Source organism: Homo sapiens, chromosome 22, assembly GCF_000001405.40.
Source record: "Homo sapiens chromosome 22, GRCh38.p14 Primary Assembly".
In the NCBI taxonomy this organism is placed as follows: Eukaryota; Metazoa; Chordata; class Mammalia; order Primates; family Hominidae; genus Homo; species Homo sapiens.
Genome location: NC_000022.11, coordinates 29,385,216 through 29,407,277, shown reverse-complemented (window position 1 = coordinate 29,407,277; position 22,062 = coordinate 29,385,216). Strand labels below are relative to the sequence as shown.

The following is a 22,062-nucleotide window of genomic DNA, read 5'->3' as shown; positions in this document are numbered from 1 at the left end:
CTACGAAAAAAAAAAAATTAGCTTGGTATAGTGGCACGTGCCTTATGGCCAGCTACTTGGGAGGCTGAGGTGGAAGGATCCCCTGAACCTGGGGAGGTCAAGATCGCAGTGAGTTGTGATTGCACCAATGCACTCCTGGGTGACAAATGAGACCTTTTCTCACACACACACACACACACACACACACACACACACACAAAAGAACAACTCTAACTTGTCAATATTACTTTACTTGTGTAGTTGTATCATCTACCATTGATTTAATGCATTTAAATTGGCACAAATGAAATAAATGAAGAACATGACATAGCATTTACTGAGTTTCTCTAATATGGAGCACTGAATGAATAAACTGGAATTATTTGCTTAAATGAACTTAATGATTTAATTTCCACATTACCTATATTTTCTAGAGGCCAAATCCCGTGCCGTCTCCATATTATTTTTAACCAGCGCTTGGAGCGGGCGTCCAAACCTGCAAGGTAGAGCAGACTTCTTATAGATTCCAGGAAATGTATTATAATAAAGACAGTGCTTGACATGTTGCTGGCAGAGGATAGCAGAGAAATTAGTAAAAACTTATTCACAGATGAAAGTTTTGATCCCGGTTTGCACCGTCTGCTTTTCAACTCTACCTGAATTAGATTTGGGTTCTAGGAAGATTTTGCAAGGTTTGTTGCACTTAAAACAGACTGTGCAGGCAGATACCTTTATTTAGATGAGACAATATAGAAAAGCAGCAGATCCAAGTCACCAAGAATGGCCTGGGTTCAAATGCTACTTAGAATCTGCACATACCTGGGAGAGTGAAATGAACCCCTCTGTGCCTCAGTTCCCTATTCTGAGATGTGGGAATGTTAGTAGATCTCTGCTATAGACCTACTAAGATCTATAGGGCTAAAAAGGATGAGATACAGATAAAGGCTTAAGAAGACTCATGAGTTGTAAATGCCCAACAGTGTTCAATCATTCAATGTCTGGAAGAATAATCCAGATACTTGGTAGTGTATAGAATACAGAGAGGGAGCGTGTATGGCTCCCGGGCAGGGGAGGGTGGAAGGTGACTTCACTGTTTCCATGGGCATGATGCTTTCCAGCTCATGAAAGAGATGTGTTATTTCTTTTTTTTTATTTTTTTTTTTTTTTTTTTTTTTTTTTTTTTGAGAAGGAGTCTCGCTCTGTCCCCCAGGCCGGACTGCGGACTGCAGTGGTGCAATCTCGGCTCACTGCAAGCTCTGCTTCCCGGGTTCACGCCATTCTCCTGCCTCAGCCTCCCGAGTAGCTGGGACTACAGGCGCCTGCCACCGCGCCCGGCTAATTTTTTGTATTTTTAGTAGAGACGGGGTTTCACCTTGTTAGCCAGGATGGTCTCGATCTCCTGACCTCGTGATCCACCCGCCTCGGCCTCCCAAAGTGCTGGGATTACAGGCGTGAGCCACCGCGCCCGGCCGAGATGTGTTATTTCTTTGATCCCCACATTAGCCCCGAGGGACGGGCAGAGCAGGGGCTACAACCCGTATTTTCCAATTCAATGAATTAAAACTTAGACGTTTTGAGTGACTTGCCCAGAGTTACCACAGTGAGGCATGAAGATGTGGGGCAAGAATGTAGTTGGTTCCCTGGGGACAGAGATCCAGGAACATCTGAGTCCTCTAGATCATGCCCTGGACCCTGAACTGAGAGCTCTTCTCAAAAGCTTTGTCAAATCCTGCTGCCCCAATATTTCTTTGGGATGGTTGATGCCCTGGAGAGGTGGCAGGTGGCTTACTGCATTTACTCACCTGCTCTATTATCCCTGCGTCTTCACTTTGATTAGCTTTATGCCCCATAAGACAAACATTTAAAGTCTCTCAGTTATGATGCACAGTCTGGGATTTTACCTAAATCCACTCTATTTTGGGTGATTTTACCTAAATCACCCATCAGGTGATTCTCATCTGCTGGCCTGGAGGTGGCCTGCCATGTAAGAGGACACACAGCATACCATGGAGCTGCTGCGTCCCCCAGTCCTGTGCACACTCACGCCTTGCTTCTGCTTTCCCTGCTCCGACAATCCTAATTCTGGCTTCCAAAGCAATCCTGTACTTCCCTCTCAGTTCTCAGACTTGCCTAAACTGTTTAACGTTTTAATCAATGTTGTGACCATGACTGAGCTGTGACATTTGATATATCATAGTATATTTTTATCCATTTATAGATTTGTTAATAGCATTTAACTTCATTTTTCAGAGTTTTAGGAACATTTCTGGGCTAGGTGTCCTGGCACATGGCTGTAATCCTGACATTTTTGGAGGCTAAGGCAGGAGGATTGCTTGAGGTCAGAAGTTTGAGACCAGCCTGGGCAACATAGTGAGACCTCTTCTCTATAAAAAATGTTTTAAAAATTAGCCAGGTGTGGTAGTGAGCTCTTGTTTACCTAGGTACGTGGAAGACTTATGTGGGAGGATTGTTTGAGCCAAGGAGTTTGAGGCTGCAGTGAGCTATGATCAGGCCACTGCACTCCAGCCTGGGTGACAAAGCAAGACCCTGTCTCTTAAAGATAAAAAGCATTACTGAGTTACAAGTATCTCCATTTTATTTCTCATTATCTAATGTTACTGTTTTAATCCTGAGGCTTAACTACTTTAATAAACTAAAGGAAATTTTTTTTAAAAGAGGTAGTATTCAAAGCAGCTCATATGCACCTTGTAATAAATTCTAGTTTTATATGCCATGTCTAGAATTTACATTCTTGATCTGACTCTTATTTTTTCAAACCTTGAAAAACTCACTTTATACTTATTAGAACCAGCCTTCTCATATGTGACACAAGGAAAATTCTCATATTACACCTAACTTAAAACATTGAGAGGATCAAATAAAATGCAAGAGCAGTCTATTTACTACATAATGCACAATCAATTACAAAGCAAAGCTTCTGGGTGAAAAGTAAACAGTTAACATCCTTTGGAAAACCCATAGCAAAATAACATTTTGAGAAAACACGCACTTTGGCTACCCACTGAAGTTAAGGAGAAAACAGTCACAGGTCAGCATCAAGAATTCCCCAGCGTTGTTTTTTTGTTTGTTTTAATAATCACACATTATTCCCCCTGCTTTCTTTCATGTATGTTACCGCATGTTCTCCCTTTTTGCTTTTCTGTGTAACCTATCTTGGGAATCACTCCATAGCAGTAAAATGACATCTTACCCTTGTTTACAGCTCCATAGTTCTCCTTTAGGTGGAAGTACCAGTTAATTTTACTAGTCCCTTACTAGACATTTCAGTTATTTCCAATATTGAGCTATTGAAAATAATGCAACAAGGACTTTGTGCATAGGTTGTTTCATATTTATGGAGTATACCCTCGGGATAAAATGCCTCAAAGTAGGATTTCCGGTTTAAATGCATTTGCAAGGTTGTGAGATTGTGCCAAATTCCCCTTCGTGGAGTCGAGCCATTTTGCATTTCCACCAGCAATATATGCATGCAACTTTCCTTACAGCCAAACCAAAGAATGTATTGCCACGTTTTTGGAATTTCACTTAATAGGAGAGACACTGCAGTATAGTTGTCATTTGCCTTTCTCTTATGTGTGAAGATGTGTTTAAGGATCGTCTGCATTTCTTTTTCTGTGACTTCTCTATTTATCACTTTATTACCTACTTTTAGGATCACTTGACTCTAGAGATTCTCAAGTCAGCCTATTTCAGGTCATGATCGTCTGTCTGTTCACTGTTGACTCTCACCTGCACTTCGCCACCAGCCTCCTAGCTGGTCTCCCTGCTTCCACCCTTGCCTGCATTACAGGACATTCTCACACAGCCGCTGGTCAGTCTTCTTCTTGGAGAATTAACAGTAATCCCCAGGCTGTAATCCTCCAGTGGTTTCCCATCTCAACTAAAGTCCATATTCTTTGTCAATGCTCACTACGTGTACGAGGCCTTAGCCCATCATATTCATTTCACTCTGCTGCAGCCACCTTTGTGTCTTTCTGTCCTTTTCCCAAAACAAGTTTGTTCCCATTTCAGGAATTCCAAAGAAGAAATTCCTCTCTGGAAGCCCTCTCCCATCATCCTCACAAGGCTCCGCCTCACTTTTCAATTTATTTTTAAAAACAAATAAGATGGGATCTCTCTATGTCTATGAAGGTGGGGACCTTCTGTCTTATTTCAAAAAGAAAGGGACATAACAAGAACCAAGAGGCAAAAAACAGTCGTGAGAGTGTAGTCAGAGCTCCTCCTTCCACTACCAGCTACTGAAGGCTGCTGGCCCTGCCCAATGGCTAGTACCCACAAAGCCTCCTATGTCACCTGGTTACCAGGAAACAACCAAGTCAGGCTAGTGGCTCACAATGGCCGACCCCACAGACCCAACCAATGGCTCACACCTCCCTGCTGCTGCCCACCTTGTGGCCACCCTGTCCCTCTGTGGTGACTGCACTATTCGTCCTGGGCTGCCTGAGCTTTCCAGTCCTGAGAAAAGTGCAGGGGGGCGGGGGTTGTTATTGGAAGTCACCCCGGGCAATGAACTCAATGGAAAACCCTGGTTACTAAAGTCAGTTCCATTAGCATCTCTGTTTTTCTGAGTCTGGCAGCTTTCGTTTGCTCACCAAATGTAGTTATACACAAATTTCGGACTGCTTTGTAAGTAAATGCTTCTCTCCTGTCTTACAAGTGTTAGTTTTTGTCTTCAACTTGACCATAGCAACTCCTAGAGCCCTGGTCCCACTCTCGATAAAGCGTGATGACTGTGACTTGAATGAAACCCTAGGACACATCACACTTTCCCTTCCTTGTCTATAAAATAGGGACTGAACTCATCCTTCCCAGTTCTGAAATGCTAGGACCTACCAACTCTCTTTTCTCCCTCTGTTTCTTTCTTCCATGGCAGGGATATTCAGATATTTCTTTTACTAACAATGCATAAAGCGTGTTTTTCTTATACAAAATTGAGAACCACTGTCCTCATTTGATGAAGATGAATAGTAAATATCTGGCAAGCCTGACAGTGTTCCAGCTGTGGTATACTAATTTAACCCCCAGAAACCATTCCATTTTATGGATTTTACAGAATCAATCTAGATGGAGAAGTTAAGTAGCTTTCTCCAAGTTTCCATGACGGCTCAAGATGGGGCTAGGATTTAATCCTGAGTAATCTTGATCCCCACAAGCCGATCATGGTTATCAGAAAGTAAAGGTAGACGTCATGCTTGGAGGGGCAGTGACCTTGTAGATTAGTATTTTTTTTAAAGAATAACAGTTTTTTGATGTGGATTTTAAAATGCCTCCCCTTCATTCAACATTAAGTCTAAGTGCCAATACTGCATGTGTGAAACAGTCCCAACCCTCCGTGAGTTCAGGCAGATGAGCAAACAAAGGCTTAGAGGATTCAATTGTCTGAGGCTACACTGCTGGACAGTGAATCAACCTGGAATGAAAACGCAGATCTATCTGACCCAAAATTAGATGCTGGGGTAGAGTTTGAATTTTATTCTGGAAACGAGAGTCACTGAACCACACAGGGGTGAAGAGTCTCTATCCGATGTGTTTGCAGTGACGTCACTCTGCGCAGTGGAGAGGGCTTTATGAAAGCAGTGGGGCTGATTAAGATACTCTATGTTCATCTGGAGAACAGTAAGGCTAAAAAGGCAGCAGCAGTGACTGAAGTGGAAGGAAAAGTTTTGTGATCAGCTGGGAGATAGAAGAGGAAGTGCTTGGTGATTAGACGTGGAAGAAGAGGGGAAGGAAAAACAGGCTGCTAAGGCCCTAGTTTGATGGACTGTGTAAATAGCAGTGATTCTCCCCTAGACAGAGAATGTAGGACGAGAAAGAGGTGTGGGGAATGAGACAGTTTTGAACTCTTTAAGTGTCACATTGAAATGGAACCGTCTGGTTGAAAATTGGATATAAACCTCTGTAGGCTAAGTCCATTCTGTGACATCCCAACTCATGTTTTCAAAAGTAACACACACACAGTAACTCAAATCATTAAGGAAATTTCCTAAAATTTACATACTAAGAATATGACAATTTTTTAGTGATTACTTTCTTAGGGAAACTTTGAATTTATGGTTGTAGCGAATGAGGTGTCACGTAAAATAAAACTGTTATATAAGAACAACATTTAAATTCTATTGTCATAACAGCATATACAATACAATTGAAGCCATGGGTATGACCGTGACTGCTTTAAAAGGCTGTGTCTAATAAGGGGAGGGGTTTGGAGAGAAAGGAGGCTTGGGGAATAGGGAAATGTACGTGGCATGAAGTAAAGACTGCAAAAGTGAAAAGTGAGAGTCAAGGCACCTGAGTGTTCATCAGCAATGGCTGATCTGGTGGGTCTCATCGGAATGGAGGTGGTGTCTGCTTCTCATTTCTGTAATGGCCTCACCTAGCACAGGGCCTGGTCAGTAGGTACTTTATACCTAATACCCCAATCAACAGAGCCATATTTTGCCAAGAAGGCAGAAAAGCCACAGATGCCATTGCCTGTGGCAACTCAGTGATTGAGGATGTGTGTGAGTAAGCTGAGCGTCAGCAGTGGGGAAAGAGTGAACTAGAGGTGAGAAAGTAAAGACATCAACTGAGGGCTTCTCCTCCTAAAAGTATGGCTGAAAAGAGAGATGTGGGAACAGTTGAAGGGAGATATATGGTTAAGAAAGCTTTCATTCCCCCCCCATAAAGATGAGTATACTTTTATCCTAAATGGTAAGAACCAATAAAGGAAACATGTTTACAATTGGAAGAGAGGGAGAATTAATAACACATGATGCCCAAGAAGGCACAAGTTCATGCAATCCAGAGTGAGGACAGATTAGCTTCGGACTGATACAAAATCAAGAAGGGAGAAAGCACTGTGTGACTAGAGACATTTCTTCTAAAGGAGAGGTTTACAAAAAGCTCTTTTCATGACCAGCTCTCTGAATAGACTTGTCAGATAACTACTCTAGGAAAGAGGCAATTATGTATAGAGAAGTCTACACTTTAGAAAAGCTTGATAGGCCGGGCGTGGTGGCTCACACCTGTAATCCCAGCACTTTGGGAGGCTGAGACGGGTGGATCATGAGGTCAGGAGATCGAGACCATCCTGGCTAACACAGTGAAACCCCGTCTCTACTAAAAATACAAAAAAATTAGCCGGGAGCGGTGGCGGGCTCCTGTAGTCCCAGCTACTTGAGAGGCTGAGGCAGGAGAATGGCGTGAACCCAGGAGGCGGAGCTTGCAGTGAGCCGAGATCGCGCCACTGCACTCCAGCCTGGGCGACAGAGCCAGACGCTGTCTCAAAAAAAAAAAAAAAAAAAGAAAAGAAAAGCTTGATACACCTTACAATCCCCAAATAATGGCTTTCTTCAACAGTGAGTAAATTGAAAAGCAATTTGAGCAAAAACCCAGAGGCTCAAATATGAATAGGTGCATCACAAAAGTTGAAGAGGGGGCTAATTAACTCCCTCAAAGAGTTAAAAGAAAAAGCAACAACTGCGAGAAGAGTGAAAAATAAGAATAAAAGTATATGTAGTTGCAAAAAGTCTGAATGTTTACAAACCCTGTGACCACAAAAGGGGCCACAAAAGGGGCCACAGGGAGTGTTATCACAGGAGGAAAACGGTTGCTTCAAAAAGCAGAGGAGCAGGGGTAATAAAGATTCCATTTAGTTGAAAAGATTTAAGTAAAGTTTGAGGACAGTTAGGTGACATGTTGAAATGTGGAAAACCACAGTGGAAGGGGAAAAGACCCGATAAAGTTCAGTTTCAGCAACCAACATCCGATGAAATCCTCAGGACCCAGTGACTGCATTCTATGTCAATAATAATATTGGCTGAGGTCCCAGGAATGTCATTAGATACCATTTTGGATGATTCTTATGGACTTGAGGTGAGGTCTATTTTGTTCCAAATCAGTGCCTCCATTTAACAACAGACGTACACAAAAATACGTATCCATGACCAAGAAAACTGAAGAATTTTAAACTTGCTAAGCAGGACTATACTGGGAAGCATTGTCATGAAAATAGATTTTAAAACTTTTTTTTTTTTTTGAGGGGAATTCTGGAGCACATTTAAAAAAACAAAACACTATCCTTCTATGACAGGTGCAAGTTTGGGAGAGCAAAGGAAAGCAAATAGAAGTAATGTGACTTAAATTAATCAATACTTTAATTCTATGAAGGAAGCTGAAACCTTATTTATTGGTGAGTCTGAAGTAAATTCATTTATTCACCTATTCATTCAATAGTCATTCAATACCTGTGCCCTTAACACGTGACACACACTTTGTAAGTGTTCTGGAGGTCGCTTTGACCAAGATAAACAAGATTTCTGTTCTTGTGTAACTTGTCTTCTAGTAAGGGAGTCAAGAGACAGTGTGGCCCATCCCTGCTATCTTTGTGGCCTAGGGTGGCTGTTGATCTTCAGCTTTTGTATATTCGTTCCAGAGAGCAGGATGGAGGACAGGAAGAAGAAGGAAGATTTTCTGGAAGTTCCACATAGGACAGTGCTTACAAATCATTGGCTTAAAGGTTAGTCATATGGCCATACCTAGCTACACGGGAGACTAAAAGAAAAACCATAATCATCACAATGATTGATGACTACGGTGTGTTCTTTGTGCACCACGCATAGTGCATTGCCTCCTTTAGGCCACATAGCAGCCCCGAGGAATGGGCATCAGAGGAGACAGAGGCACAGAAAGGGCAAGTGACTTGCTCAGGGTCACACGGCTAGAAACAGCAGAACCTGGGTCCCGATCTAGATCCATGTGGCTGTCCTATCTTCCTCCCAGCTCAGCTCCTTTCCAACTGCACGAGGATTGCATGCCCTCAACTACGAAATGGGGATAACAACTGTGCCTGCCCCGTGGGGATATTTTGCAGATTAAGGGAGCCAGTCCAGTTTCATGATTTTTGCGTGGAGTCTGGCACATGGTGAGTTTTTGGCAAATGGCACCGCCATCATCATCACCATCATCACCATTATTACGAGTCCTAGCTGGAAGCCAAATGAGTGATCATCCAGTCCAGTCCCCTTGTTGTACAGATGGGAAACTGAGGCCTGAACTGGGGTCAGTGGATCACTGTTGGTAATTAGCAAAGGAGTAACAGAGATCTTCATGAGGCTGAGGCCTGCCATCTCCAGCCTTCCCACACCCCCATGAGTGCAGCCCCAGTGGTGGTCTCAGATGGCACTAACCAGCTTCGTACCACCAGCTGCCCAGGGTAGAGCGGATGAGCCACAGCACTGAGAGCTCTGACAGGTGCAGCTTGCTGCTTTGCGTGGGGAATTTGCCCTGCTCGATGTGGGAGACCCCTCGGGCAAGCCAGATGCCAACCCCCCCTTCCATGGATTCTTCCCACTTCCCAGCCACCCTGTCACACTGAGGGCCATCATTGTCCCCTTGGACATGGCCTCAGAGCCCCCTGGGAACTAGCCAAGGCCCGGGCTGGAGAGTCTGGGTGTCATGAAGTCCAGCTCAGCCCCAGATGGAAGCTCAGCTTCCACATGCCTCTTTACCCAACTAGAAGTGGGCACTACTCAAGCAGGGTCCCAATCTGCATGCAGAGACCCAAACCCCACTCCTGGGAGCATGTAACCCTATCCCAATAGGAGAATGGGGGTTAACACTCACCCACAGAGTCCCATCACCACTTTTGTTCCCAGAGTGCCCCAGTTCCAAGATGCCCACTTATCAAAAGACCCTCTATTGATACAGAAGATCTGGTTTTTAGGTCCAATCCTGGGTTTTCTTTTGTTCTGTTTGGCCCATCGGTCGGCAGGTAACTGCAGTTTCTTGCTGTTGGCACTGGCTTGGGAAAAGTCTGTCCTCGTCCAGCCACTGGTAGCTACAGGGCGGTTAGGAAAACTGGACTCTGAGCAAGTCCCACCAGGAGGACCCAAGGCTGATGGGTTTTGGAGACCTCACGCTCTAAGGACCTGCCTTAGAGCTGAACCAGTTGAAGACCTGAATCAGTGTATCCCCCCAATTCAGTCAGGGTTCAAGCACAGAAACGGAAACACCAGGGCATATAGATTAAGAGATTTGTCTCAGTTGTTGAACTTATGTCATTGTGGGAACTACTTAAGAAGTTTCAGGTGGCCGGGCGCGGTGGCTCAAGCCTGTAATCCCAGCACTTTGGGAGGCCGAGGTGGGCGGATCACGAGGTCAGGAGATCGAGACCATCCTGGCTAACACGGTGAAACACCATCTCTACTAAAAATACAAAAAAAATTAGCCGGGCGCGGTGGCAGGCGCCTGTAGTCCCAGCCATTCGGGAGGACTGAGGCAGGAGAATGGCGTGAACCCGGGAGGCGGAGCTTGCAGTGAGCCGAGATCAAGCCACTGCACTCCAGCCTGGGCGACACAGCGAGACTCCGTCTCAAAAAAAAAAAAAAAAAAAAAAAAAAAGAAGTTTCAGGCTGGGTGTGGTGGCTCACACCTGTAATCCCAGCACTTTGGGAGGCCAAGGTGGGTGGATCACTTGAGCACATGAGGCAAAACCCTGTCTCCACAAAAAATACAAAAATTAGCCAGGTGTGGTGCACGTGCCTGTAGTCCCAGCACTTTGGGAGGCCAAGGCAGGAGGATCACTTGAGGCCAGGAGTTCGAGACCAGCCTGAACTACATGGTAAGACCTCCCTCCAACCTCTATTTTTTTTTAATTAATACAAATTAAATTAATACAAAAGCTCCCATTTAAGGGGGACTTATAGATGCCAGGCACTGTACATTAGTTCTACAATTTAATCTCTACAGCAACCTTGCAAGAAGGCACAACCAACCTATGTTAGTCTGTCTTGTGCTGCTTTAACAGAATACCTCGGTAATTTATAATAAACAGAAATGTATTTGGCTCATGGTTCTTGAAGTCCAGAGTCCAAGGGCATGGTGCCAATATCTGCTCGGCATCTGGTGGGGGCCTCCTTGCATATTCCCATGGCAGAAAGAGAGAGAGTGAGAGAGAGTGCAAGAGATCTAACACACAGCCTCAAGCCCTTCTGTGATTGGCATTAATCCACTCATGAGAGTACAGACTTCATGACCCAAACACCTCCCATTAGGCCCCACCTCCTAACACTGTTGCAGTGGGGACTGCCAACATGTGCTTCCTGGGGGATGCATTCAAACCATAGCAAGTCCCATTTTTCAGACTGGAAACTGAAGTCCCATAGCTGAAGATCTGAGCCCAGGTGGGGTTGAGAGCCTGGGCCTCTTCTCTTCTCTTTTCTCTTATCTTCTCTTCTCTTCCTTCTCTTCTCTTCTTTCTCTTCTCTTCTCTTCTCTTTTCTTTCTCTTCTCTTCTCTTTTCTCTTATTTCTCTTCTCTTCTCTTTTCGACAGAGTCTCGCTCTGTTGCCCAGGCTGGAGTGGACGGGCATGATCTCAGCTCACTGCAACCTCTGCCACCCAGGTTCAAGTAATCCTCCTGCCTCAGCCCCCCTAGTAGTTGGGATTACAGGCACTCACCACCATCCCCAGCTAATTTTTGTGTTTTTAGTAGAGACAGGGTTTCACCATATTGGCCAGGCTGGTCTGGAACTCCTGACCTCAGGTGATCCACCTGCCTAAGCCTCCCAAAGTGCTGGGATTACAGGTGTGAGCCACTGTGCCCATCTGAGAGCCTGGGCTTTTTCGATGCATCGGCGGAGGGTAGTTCAGCACAGGGGTACCTGAGAGAGCAGAGCTCTTCAAGAGGGAGCCTGTGGTGTACAGCTAGGAGGGGCTGAGCAGGAATTTGCTACTGGGAAGACTAGAAATGGTGCACTGAGGACATCTGCAGCAAGGAGAGCTGGAGGCAAAGGCTGGGATCCCTGGCAAGCTCTAGGCCTCTCTGCCCTGGGGGTTGTGCCAGGCCTGGGCTGGGCGGGAGGGATGGGAAGCTGCCTGCCCTCAGCAAGCAGGTGGAGGCTGGTGTTCCTGAGGCTATGGACAAAGCCACCTCCTGCCTCCTTTTAGAAAGGCTCTGTGGCAACTTTTAGAGATTTGCAGGATGAAAACAACAAAAACCAGCAAGCAAACAGAGACTGGAGTAGAGGAATAGTAATCACAGAGGAACAAGAGTGCGGAAAGGCTGGGAATGTATATAGAAAGGCACAGCGGCCCCTGTGAAAGGATGGCAATTGAAGGGAACGGTGGCGGTTAGTGGCACCTGTGCGCACTCTAGTGGGCGCAGAGGGGAAGAATACTTAATTTGTTCATGTACTTATGCACCCATTCATTGTGGAGGGAGGATGGGAAGGACTTTGCTCTGAGATTCTGAGTATCAGAAAGGGGAAGGGACTTGCTGAGGGTCACAGAATGCCAGTGGCAGGGGTCACAGTGGGTCATTTCACGAGACCGCACGAACTCTCAACCTTCCTGGCATTGGATGAAACCTCATGAAGCAGGTAAGGGTGAGTGGAGAAGAAAGCATGAGGCCTGCCGTCATCAGCCCTGGCCTTGACTCTCCGCTAGGCCCATTGCTGCTTTGGGAAGCTGGGAAAGTCCCTCAACATTTCAGGACTTCAGTGGCCTCATCTGTAAAATGGGGTTATCTTAGCATCTACCTATTGAGAACGGTGAGAGTTAAATGAATTGATGGATGTCAAGGGCATACAACGATGCTTGGCCCATGGTGGGTGCACAGTTCGCAGAGAAGAGAAACTGAGGCCCAAAGAACTGGCCAGGCCCGGTGCAGTGGCTCACGCCTGTAATCCCAGCACTTTGGGAGGCCAAGGCGGGCAGATCACCTGAGGTCAGGGGTTCGAGACCAGCCTAGCCAACATGGTGAAACCCTTTCTCTACTAAAATACAAAAATTAGCCAGGCATGGTGGTGGGTGCCTGTAATCCCAGCTACTCGGGAGGCTGAGGCAGGAGAATGGCTTGACCCCAGGAGGTGGAGGTTGCAGTGAGCCAAGACCGCACCACCGCACTCCAGCCTGGACGACACAGCGAGACTCCGTCTCAAAACAAAACAAAACAAAACAAAAACAACAACAAACAAAATTAGCCAGGAGTGGTGGCACAGGCCTGTAATCCCAGCTACTCGGGAGGCTGAGGCAAGAGAATCACTTGAACCCAGGAGGCGGAGCTTGCAGCAACAAAAGCGAAACTCTGTCTCAAAAACAAAGAACTGGACAGCCCTGTCTCCACCAGCCAGCTCAAATCGGGCAGGGTATAAAAACACTGGGGCTTGGAGAAAAGTTTTAAAATGTCCTGGCTGGGCACAGGGGCACATACCTGTAATCCCAGAACTTTGGAGGCCAAAGCAGGAGGATCACTTGAGGCCAGGAGTTTGAGACCAGCCTGGGCAACATAGTGAGACCTCATCTCTAAAACAAATAAAAATAGGCCGGGCGTGGTGGCTCATGCCTGTAATCCCAGCACTTTGGGAGGCCAAGGCGGGCAGATCATTTAAGGTCAGGAGTTCCGAGACTAGCCTGGCCAACATGGTGAAACCCCATCTCTACTAAAAATACAAAAATTAGTTGGGTGTGGTAGGCAGATTGGGCAAAAAGAGTGAGACTCTGTCTCAAAATAAATAAATAAATAAAAATAAAAACTAGCCAGGAGGTAGTATTATTGTCAGGAAGTATGTATTTCTTGGGAGGAAGCCAGCGCCCTCTCTCTCTCTCTCTCTCTATCCAGGTGGGCTTGGCTACCATTGGCTCTGCTCCCCACATCCTAGGGCAAGGAGTTTCTCCTGGGCCTGGGGTCTCAGAGGGCCGGGGCACCCACATGTGCCCCAGGTGTGGCAGTTCCAGTTGTAGCTGTCAGCATTTGATGGTGTGGATGACTCAGGCAGTGTAGCTAGGTGGGTTTAGTGGTGGGGGCAGAGAGGGAAGTTCCCTTAGATGCTCCCTTCCCCACTTCTGTCACCCACCTCTGCAAGCTGTAATTATCCAGCCTTTTACTTTGAACTGTACTTCCTCTTACTAGTATATTTTTAGCTCTCCTGCCAGATCATGCTGTGGGAGAGCAGGTCCAGGCCCTCATGGAAGTAGGGAAGAAATCAGTTCTACCCACTGGTCTTTTCCTTATCTCTACTTGGGGACAGTCATGGAACTGTCATGGAATTATTGGGAAAGTTTAATGAGTTAATATGCAGAGGCGCTTCACACAGTGCCTGGTTAATGGTTAACTATTAGTAGTAGTCTCACCCTTCACAGTTCAGGTTGGGTGTCACTTCCTCCAGGAAGACTTCCCTGACTTTCCCAGGCTGAATTTGGTGCCTGCATCCCCTGTGCCTCCCTGGTACTTCCTACCACTCTGAGTTATAATTGTCCCTTTGTTTATCTTTCTCCCATACTCAACAGTGAGCCCCCAAGGGGGGATTGTGCCATACCCTGTTCACTGTTGCATCCCCAGTGTTCCTGGCTCAGATGGCAGTGATGATTATATTTTAGGAGAATGAATGAAACTCATGACAGCTGGGGCTCTGGGACCAGGCCCTCAGCCTTGTCACTCACATGCTATTTAAGTTCTCAGGGTTGAAGTTCCCCCCAAGATGAAATGGAGCTAAAACAACCCCTTCCTCATGGGGCCGATGTCAGGAGCAAATGAGATTTTCTGCACACTACCTGCCACGCTACATGTTCCATAAACATTCACTGTTGTTCTGCAGTTCCTGATTAAATACACTCTACTTGGCCGTGTGTGTTGGCTCATGCCTGTAATCCCAGCACTTTGGAGGTGGATCCCTTGAGGTCAGGAGTTTGAGACCAGCCTGGCCAACATGGCAAAACCCCATCTCTACTACAAATACAAAAATTAACCAGGCATGGTGGTGTGCAAATGCAGTCCCAGCTACTTGGGAGGCTGAGGCAGGAGGATTGCTTGACCCTGGGAGGCAGAAGTTGCAGTGAACCAAATTTGCACAGCTGCACTCCAGCCTGAGTGACGGAGACTCTGTCTTAAAAAAAAAAAAAAAAAAAAAAAAAAAAAAAAAGCCAGGTGTGGTAGCTCATGCCTATAATCCCAGCACTGTGGGAGGCCAAGGCGGGCGGATCACCTGAAGTCAGGAGTTCAAGACTAGCCTGGTCAACAGGTTGGAACCCCATCTCCACTACAAATACAAAAATTAGCTGGGTTTGGTGGTGGGCGCCTGTAATCCCAGCGACTCGAGAGGCTGAGGCAGGAGAATTGCTTGAGCCCGGGAGGCAGAGGTTGTAGTGAGCCGAGATTGCTGCCACTCCACTCCAGCCTGGGGGACAGAGCAAGACCCCGGCTCACCAAAAACAAAACAACAACAACAACAAAAACCTTCTACTTGTCCAGGCATCCCTGGTCCCTCCAACCCAAAGGAACTTCAGTTTTAGCTCTGGACTCCCATAGCCTCCCAGTATGTCCCCTCTCACAGCATCAGTCACACTTGTGACTTGCTCCTCTGTCACCCCCTCTCCCTGCAAACTGTAGGCTGAGCAAGGGCAGGGCCTTAGCCTCACCCATCTGACTATCCAGCACCCAGCCCAGGGCCTGGCTGAAACCAGAGGCTTGGAAAATGCTTTCTGCAGGACTCAGACACCTGGCTCCCTTGCACTGGGCGTGGGGGTGGGCCCGTGAGGTTTTCCTGCCTCGGCACAGTTCTTTTCTCTGGATTACCCTTTCCTTCTCTCTCAGCCTACGCAACTCTGTTCTCATTCGGCAAGACAGCGCAAATGCCATCTTCCCCAGGAAGTCCTTCCTGAGCCGCCCGGTGCTGTGACCTCTCCCTCCTTGGAAATCTTAAAGCTCTGACTCCTTCAACCACTGACTTGCCACTTGCACATAAGCTCTCCAGCTTGATACCTTTAGGTTTGTTGGTTTGTTTTGTAGGATAATTTTTCTCTTCTGATGTTACATTCCCAATGAAATTTTGTTTTCCACTGAGGCGGGTGGCATTTACCAACATCTATCATCAGAGAAGGGCAGTTCCTCCAGAAAGTTGCATATCACACATGCTGCATGGCACATACATACACATAAAATTATTCCAGGCACACAGAGGAAAGATCGTGTGAGGACATAGCAAGAGGGCGGCCATCTACAAGCCAAGGAGAGAGGCCTCAGAGGAAAGCAGCCATGCCAACACCTTGATCTTAGACTTCCAGTCCCCAGCACTGTGAGAAAATAAATTCCATTGTTGAAGCCAAAAGAAAAAAAAATTCCATTTGTTCCCTGACTACTTTTTTATTTTTATTTTTTTTGAGACAGAGTCTCACTCCGTCGCCCAGGCTGGAGTGCAGTGGTGCAATCTTGGCTCACTGCAAGCTCCACCTCCCGGGTTCACGCCATTCTCCTGCCTCAGCCTCCTGAGTAGCTGGGACTACAGGCACCCACCACCATGTCCGGCTAATTTTTTGTATTTTTTAGTAGAGACGGGGTTTCACTGTGTTAGCCAGGATGGCCTCCCTGACTACTTTTAAAAAGGATTTAAAAATGGAATAAGGTGGCCGGGCACGGTGGCTCACACCTGTAATCCCAGCACTTTGGGAGGCTGAGGCGGGCGGATCACAAGGTCAGGAGAGCCAGACCATCCTGGCTAACAACGGTGAAACCCCGTCTCTACTAAAAATACAAAAAAAATTAGCCGGGCGTGGTGGCGGGCGCCTGTAGTCCCAGCTACTCGGGAAGCTGAGGCAGGAGAATGACGTGAACCCGGGAGGCGGAGCTTGCAGTGAGCCGAGATCGAGCCACTGAACTCCAGCCTGGGTGATGGAGCGAGGCTCCGTCTAAAATAAATAAATAAATAAATAAATAAATAAAAATGGAATAAGGTTTGTAATTTAGATAACGGTATTTTACCAACACCACCAATTTCCTGCTTTTGCTATTATACTGCAGATATATAAAATGTCACCATTGTGGGAAGCTGGGTGAAGGGTATATGGGACTCAATTTTGGTACTAATTTTGCAATTTCCTGTAAGTCTATAATTATTTAAAAATAACTTTTAAAGGCTTTGAGGCTGCTTAAACATCTAAAATTATATTAAATATAAAAACCAGTAATATCTATATTAGATAGGACGTAGAGACTTAGCAATAAGTGCACTTAGCAGTAAGTGCAAGCTTATTTATTAACAACTTTTTGATAATATTAAAAAAGATGGATAACAACCTCAGGGGATTGTTTTTGAGATTAGCAGTACCATCCACGTAATGGAATACTATGCAGATACTGGAAAGTGCCAAGTAGAAATGTATTTACTATTTTGGGAAACTTTTACCAATATTTTGGTGAGTTAAAAAATACCAACAGTGGCTCACGCCTATAATCCCATCACTTTGGGAAGCTGAGGTGGGCAGATCACTTGAGGTCAGGAGTTCAAGACCAGCCTGGTCAACATGGTGAAACCCCCGCCTCTACTAAAAATACAAAAATTAGCTGGGCACGGTGGTGCATGCTTGTAATCCCAATTACTTGGGAGGCCCAGGCAGGAGAATCGCTTGAACCTGGGAGGCAGAGGTTGCAGTGAGCCAAAATCACGACACTGCACTCCAGTCCGGGCAACAGAGCGAGACCCTGTCTCAAAACAAACAAACAAAAAAAAACAAATGATCTATCAAGTTTGGAAGAATATTCACCAAAATATTAAAAGTGATTGTCTTAGGTCAGTGGGATTGCAGATGGTTTTTTTCTTTTTTCTTTTTTTTTTTTTTTGAGACGGAGTCTTGCTCTGTCGCCCAGGCTGGAGTGCAGTGGTGTGATGTCGGCTCACTGCAAGCTCTGCCTCCCGGGTTCACGCCATTCTCCTGCCTCAGCCTCCTGAGTAGCTGGGACTACAGGCGCCTGCCACCACACCCGGCTAATATTTTGTGTTTTTAGTAGAGACGGGGTTTCACCATGTTAACCAGGATGGTCTCGATCTCCTGGCCTTGTGATCCGCCCGCCTCGGCCTCCCAAAGTGCTGGGATTACAGGTGTGAGCCACCATGCCCGGCCATTTTTTTTCTTTTTTTGAGACAGGGTCTGGATCTGTCGCCCAGGCTGGAGTGCAGTGCTGCAATTATAGCTCACTGTAACCTCAACCTCCTGGGCTCAAGCTATTCTCCTGCCTCAGGCTCCCGAGTAGCTGGGACTACAGGTATGAGCCACTGTGTCTGGCTCAAGGTCACTCATCTTAAGAATGGAGGGGTCCAAACTAGAGCTGTAAACCTAGTTTGGACAGAGAGAGACCCCTCTGTAATCCCAGCACTTTGGGAAGCCGAGGCGGGAGGATCTCTCGGGTCCATGATTTCGAGACCAGCCTGAGCAATAAAGTGAGACTCTCTCTACAAAAAATAAATAAGTAAATAATAAGTAATTAGCCGGGCGTAGTGCTGCGCACCTGTGGTCCCAGCTGCTTGGGAGGCTGAGGTGAGAGGATCACCTGAGCCTGGGAGGCGGAGGGTGCAGTGAGCCCAGATCTTCGAGCCACTGCACTCTAGCTTGAGCAACAGAGCAAGACCCTATTTCAAACAAACAAACAAAAAATGAGTGACCTTGAGCAAAACCCTGCCCCTCTTAGAACCTCAGATTTGCCGTCTTTACACAGAAGATGGACTTCAAACTCCCTACGACCTTGCCCGGCCCCCTCACGCTGAATTGGCTAGCGGGATGGTTTCCCAAGGGCTCTGCGGGAGACTGCAGCATAGCAGCGCCGCGGCTGCCGAGGGGTTAATACCGTTGGGCTCTTCCCCTTTTCTTGCCCCGCCCCACGGGCACCACCCCCGCCAGGGTTGTACCCTTGACCCCGCCTTCAGGCCTTGCGTCCACCGGAAGTACCCGCGCGCGGGCAGCTCACTTCCGCCCGGCAGGTGACAGCCGCGGGGCTCCGAGCCGCCGGCAGCCCGGACGCACCGGGAGAGCGAGAGGTGGAGGCCGCGGACATTTTGGTGCCAAGCCGAACCGAGCCGGGGCGCCGGGAGCTATTGGGACCTGCGGGTGAGGAAGCGGGGACCCGGGCGAGCCAGGAGAAGAAGTGGGGCGAGGGGTCAGGGGTCCTAGGTGAGGGGTTTGCGGGGTCAGAGGTCATGAAGAGGACGCGGCGCTGCAGGGGCGCGAGCGACGTCCCCAGCCAGAGGAGGAGGAAGGGCTGAGGGTTCGTTCATTCATTCGCGCCCACTTGGCCGCCGGCCTGTTCCTCGGCCGCCCCATACCCGCAGCACCTCCTGGGGCTTCCGCCCGGAGAGACAGGACTTAGGCCCCGAGGAATTCCCCACTGGCCTGAGGGAAAACTCTTCGGGCTCTGATTTCCTCTTTCGGACTCACCTCCATGGCCATCCTGAGGCCTCCTCGTTGTTCAGGGCGTTATCTCTTTGCCAAGGTTGAAAAAGAAGAAAGAAAAAAAAACTAGAAAACGGTCCCGTGCCGCCCGCCTCCGGCTAGGCACTGGCTTGGTCTTGTTTGTTGGAGCCTCTAAGACAAGTTAACTGAATGGAGACACCGGTGATAATGCTGCAAAATAACGAGGGAGATGCTTGCTAGTGGCTATCGAGTCCCTTCTGTGTACCGGGCACTGTGCTAAGCACTTTCCTTACAATGACACATTTAAACTTCACAGCAACCTTTGTGGGGATTAAATATCCCTATTTTATCGATGAGGACCCTGAGGCACAGAGAGGTTAAATCCCACATGTAAGGTCATTCGGGTAGTAGAGGCAAGGCCAGGTTTTCTGCCAGGCTGTCAGAGACCTGCAAAGTACAGAGACAAAGGAAAGACTGGAGTTAAGGTTGGGGTGTAGGGGATATTTAAGACTTTTAGCCAGACATGGTGGCTCACGCCTGTAATCCCAGCACTTTGGGAAGCTGAGGCGGGTGGATCGTGAGGTCAGGAGTTCAAGACCAGCCTGACCAACATGGTGAAACCCTGTCTCCAATAAAAATACAAAAATTAGCCAGACATGGTGGCGTACGCCTGTAATCCCAGCTACTTGGGAGGCTGAGGCAGGAGAATCGCTTGAACCCAGGAGGTGGAGGTTGCAGTGAGCCGAGATCGTGCGACTGCACTCCAGCCTGGGCCACGGAGTGAGACTCCGTCTCAAAAAAAAAAAAAAAAAAAAGATTTTTAGCTGCCGTTGTATTTATTTGGATTTATGTCACGATGTAGCCTTATTGCTTTTTGTCTGATCTTCATAAGGGGCATTCGACTTACTTTCTTTAGGATAAAACAATCCTACAGGCTGTTGCTATTAGTGATACCTTTCAGGGCAAGAGTCTAAGATTTTCCTGACTTTAGGGAACAGTGAGACACAAAACAGGCTATCCGTGAAAACTATTTGAAGATTGTCGAGAACTTCTCTTCAGAGTGGTTGAGCTGCATTCGTTTTGGTCTAAAAAGAGAGGAACCACATGACCTCTAGGGGATCTTTTGGTCCTAGGTTCTGGAAGAAGGTACCCAGAGGAAGAATCTTTGCCTTTCTGAGAAATATGCAGGCCCCATGGCTTCTTGCCAGAGCAGAGCACGTCTTACTTGGGAGGTGGTGAGACGGTTTGGTGGCTGGAGGACTAGGCTGTATGAATCTAAGCCTCATTCCATTGCGGATATTCACTTGCTTCAATTCTGCCTCAGTTTCCCTGACATCAACATGAGAAAGACCTGCCGCCTTCCTGTCTGCTCCTAGGGGTATGAACCTGTGAATGAACCCGTGAGGGCTTCCACATGGCTTCTGAAGAAAGCTGTATATAAATATTACTGTAATACCTTTTTTTTTTAAGCTGTGTGATCTATTCTCCTAGTTCCATTGAATTCACAGAAACTTAATATTGTCACCTTATATTCCCATCCTTCCAAGGGAGGATTTGAGATGAAGCAACTTGTCACAGAGGGTAGGAACATGAGCAGAGCTCAGAGCTTCTGGTTTTCTGTCCTGAGTTGAGCCCACCAGTCTCCTCTGACCTCTTAGAAACTGTCATGAGGAGCATCTTCAGTAGGTCTCAAAGAGTCAGATCCCTCAGAGATTGTGTGAAGATCATCTGTTGAGTGTAGGTCAGTGGAGGCTTCACCCTGAGCTGCTTCAAGAGCCCAGAGGTATGATGGAAAGATCACCAGACTCCCAGTCAGTCAGCCCTGGGTTCAACCCCAGCTCAGCAGCTTCCTGGCAGTGTGACCTGACCTGGACCGTTGACATAGGCTGGCCCTCCTTTACCTCAGTTCTAAAATAATACTGGCCACCCTTTCTGACTCCTCTACCCCTGGTTTGTGTGAGGGTTAGATGGGAAAATTTGTGCAGGGCCTGTGATTTTTGGGTGCTTTGACTCTAGGCAGACTGATGCCTGCTGGGGGCCTGTGTCTGAGGAAGGCTGCCAACCTTGGCTTCTGGAGCGTTACTTCCTTCTGCAAACAGAGACCTTAATGTACGCAGGACTTTTTCCACCCTTCTTGTTTCACTTCCTAAAAGTAGTTCAGAACAAGTTCAATTTGTTGGTCCTTCTGGCTTTGAGCTTGGGCTTGCATCTTTTTCTAGTCATCCTCTGAAACTCTTGCATGTCTTAACTACTTCCCAGGAACTTCCCGTGTCTGGCACCAAAGCCTGACATGCTGACAGTAAGCAAACATGGCTTGGGTTTTGCACTTCGCTGTGTTTCTGAAGGTTGAGGTGACATCTGTGCCTTGCAGACATTTCTTTTTCTCAGCAGGTCTTTTTGCCTAAGAGACATCGTTGATATTATCACAGCCCAGAAGTGATTTTTCTGTTCTTTATGTCTTCACATGGAGAGGAACAAATACTCCTGAGAAAAAATGTCAACAGAGCAGTTGGGGAATCCTTAAAGAAAATTCTGCTTGAAAATTCATCAGTGGCTCCTAGTTGCCCTCGGGCTAAAACTCACATTCCTTAGCATGGCATTCAAGGCCCTTTGGACTCTGACCCCTGCCTAGCTCTCTTTTGTCATCTCTCCTGCTCCACACTCACCTTTTCCCAAGCTCCAGTCAACCTCAGCTACTTGCTACTTCTGCAAGCACCAACTCTTTTTCTTTTTTCGAGACAGGATCTTGGCTTGTTACCCAGACTGTAGTACAGTGGAGCTGTCATAGCTCACTGCAGGCTCCAACTCCTGGGCTTGAACGATCCTCCTGCCTCAGCCTCCCAAGTAGCTAGTACTACAGATGGGTGCCACTGTGCCTGGCAAATTGTTTTTATTTTTTGTAGAG

The 22,062-nt window shown here is 47.0% G+C and overlaps 2 protein-coding genes across 9 annotated transcripts in view; one reads left to right on the top strand and one right to left on the bottom strand.

Moving 5' to 3' along the window:
• RFPL1 (ret finger protein like 1) overlaps window positions 1-19,369 on the bottom strand; it is a 54,547-nt gene extending 35,178 nt beyond the window's left edge. Inside the window, exons 1-2 of the mRNA NM_001393612.1 lie at window positions 19,182-19,369; window positions 401-475 (exon numbers count right to left, since the gene is read on the bottom strand). The gene's annotated coding sequence lies outside the window, so the exon portion shown is untranslated. The remainder of the gene's footprint in view (window positions 1-400; window positions 476-19,181) is intronic.
• AP1B1 (adaptor related protein complex 1 subunit beta 1) overlaps window positions 18,708-22,062 on the top strand; it is a 60,891-nt gene continuing 57,536 nt past the window's right edge. For all 8 annotated transcript variants that reach the window (NM_001378565.1, NM_001378564.1, NM_001378566.1 and 5 more), the window contains exon 1: window positions 18,708-18,854. The gene's annotated coding sequence lies outside the window, so the exon portion shown is untranslated. The remainder of the gene's footprint in view (window positions 18,855-22,062) is intronic.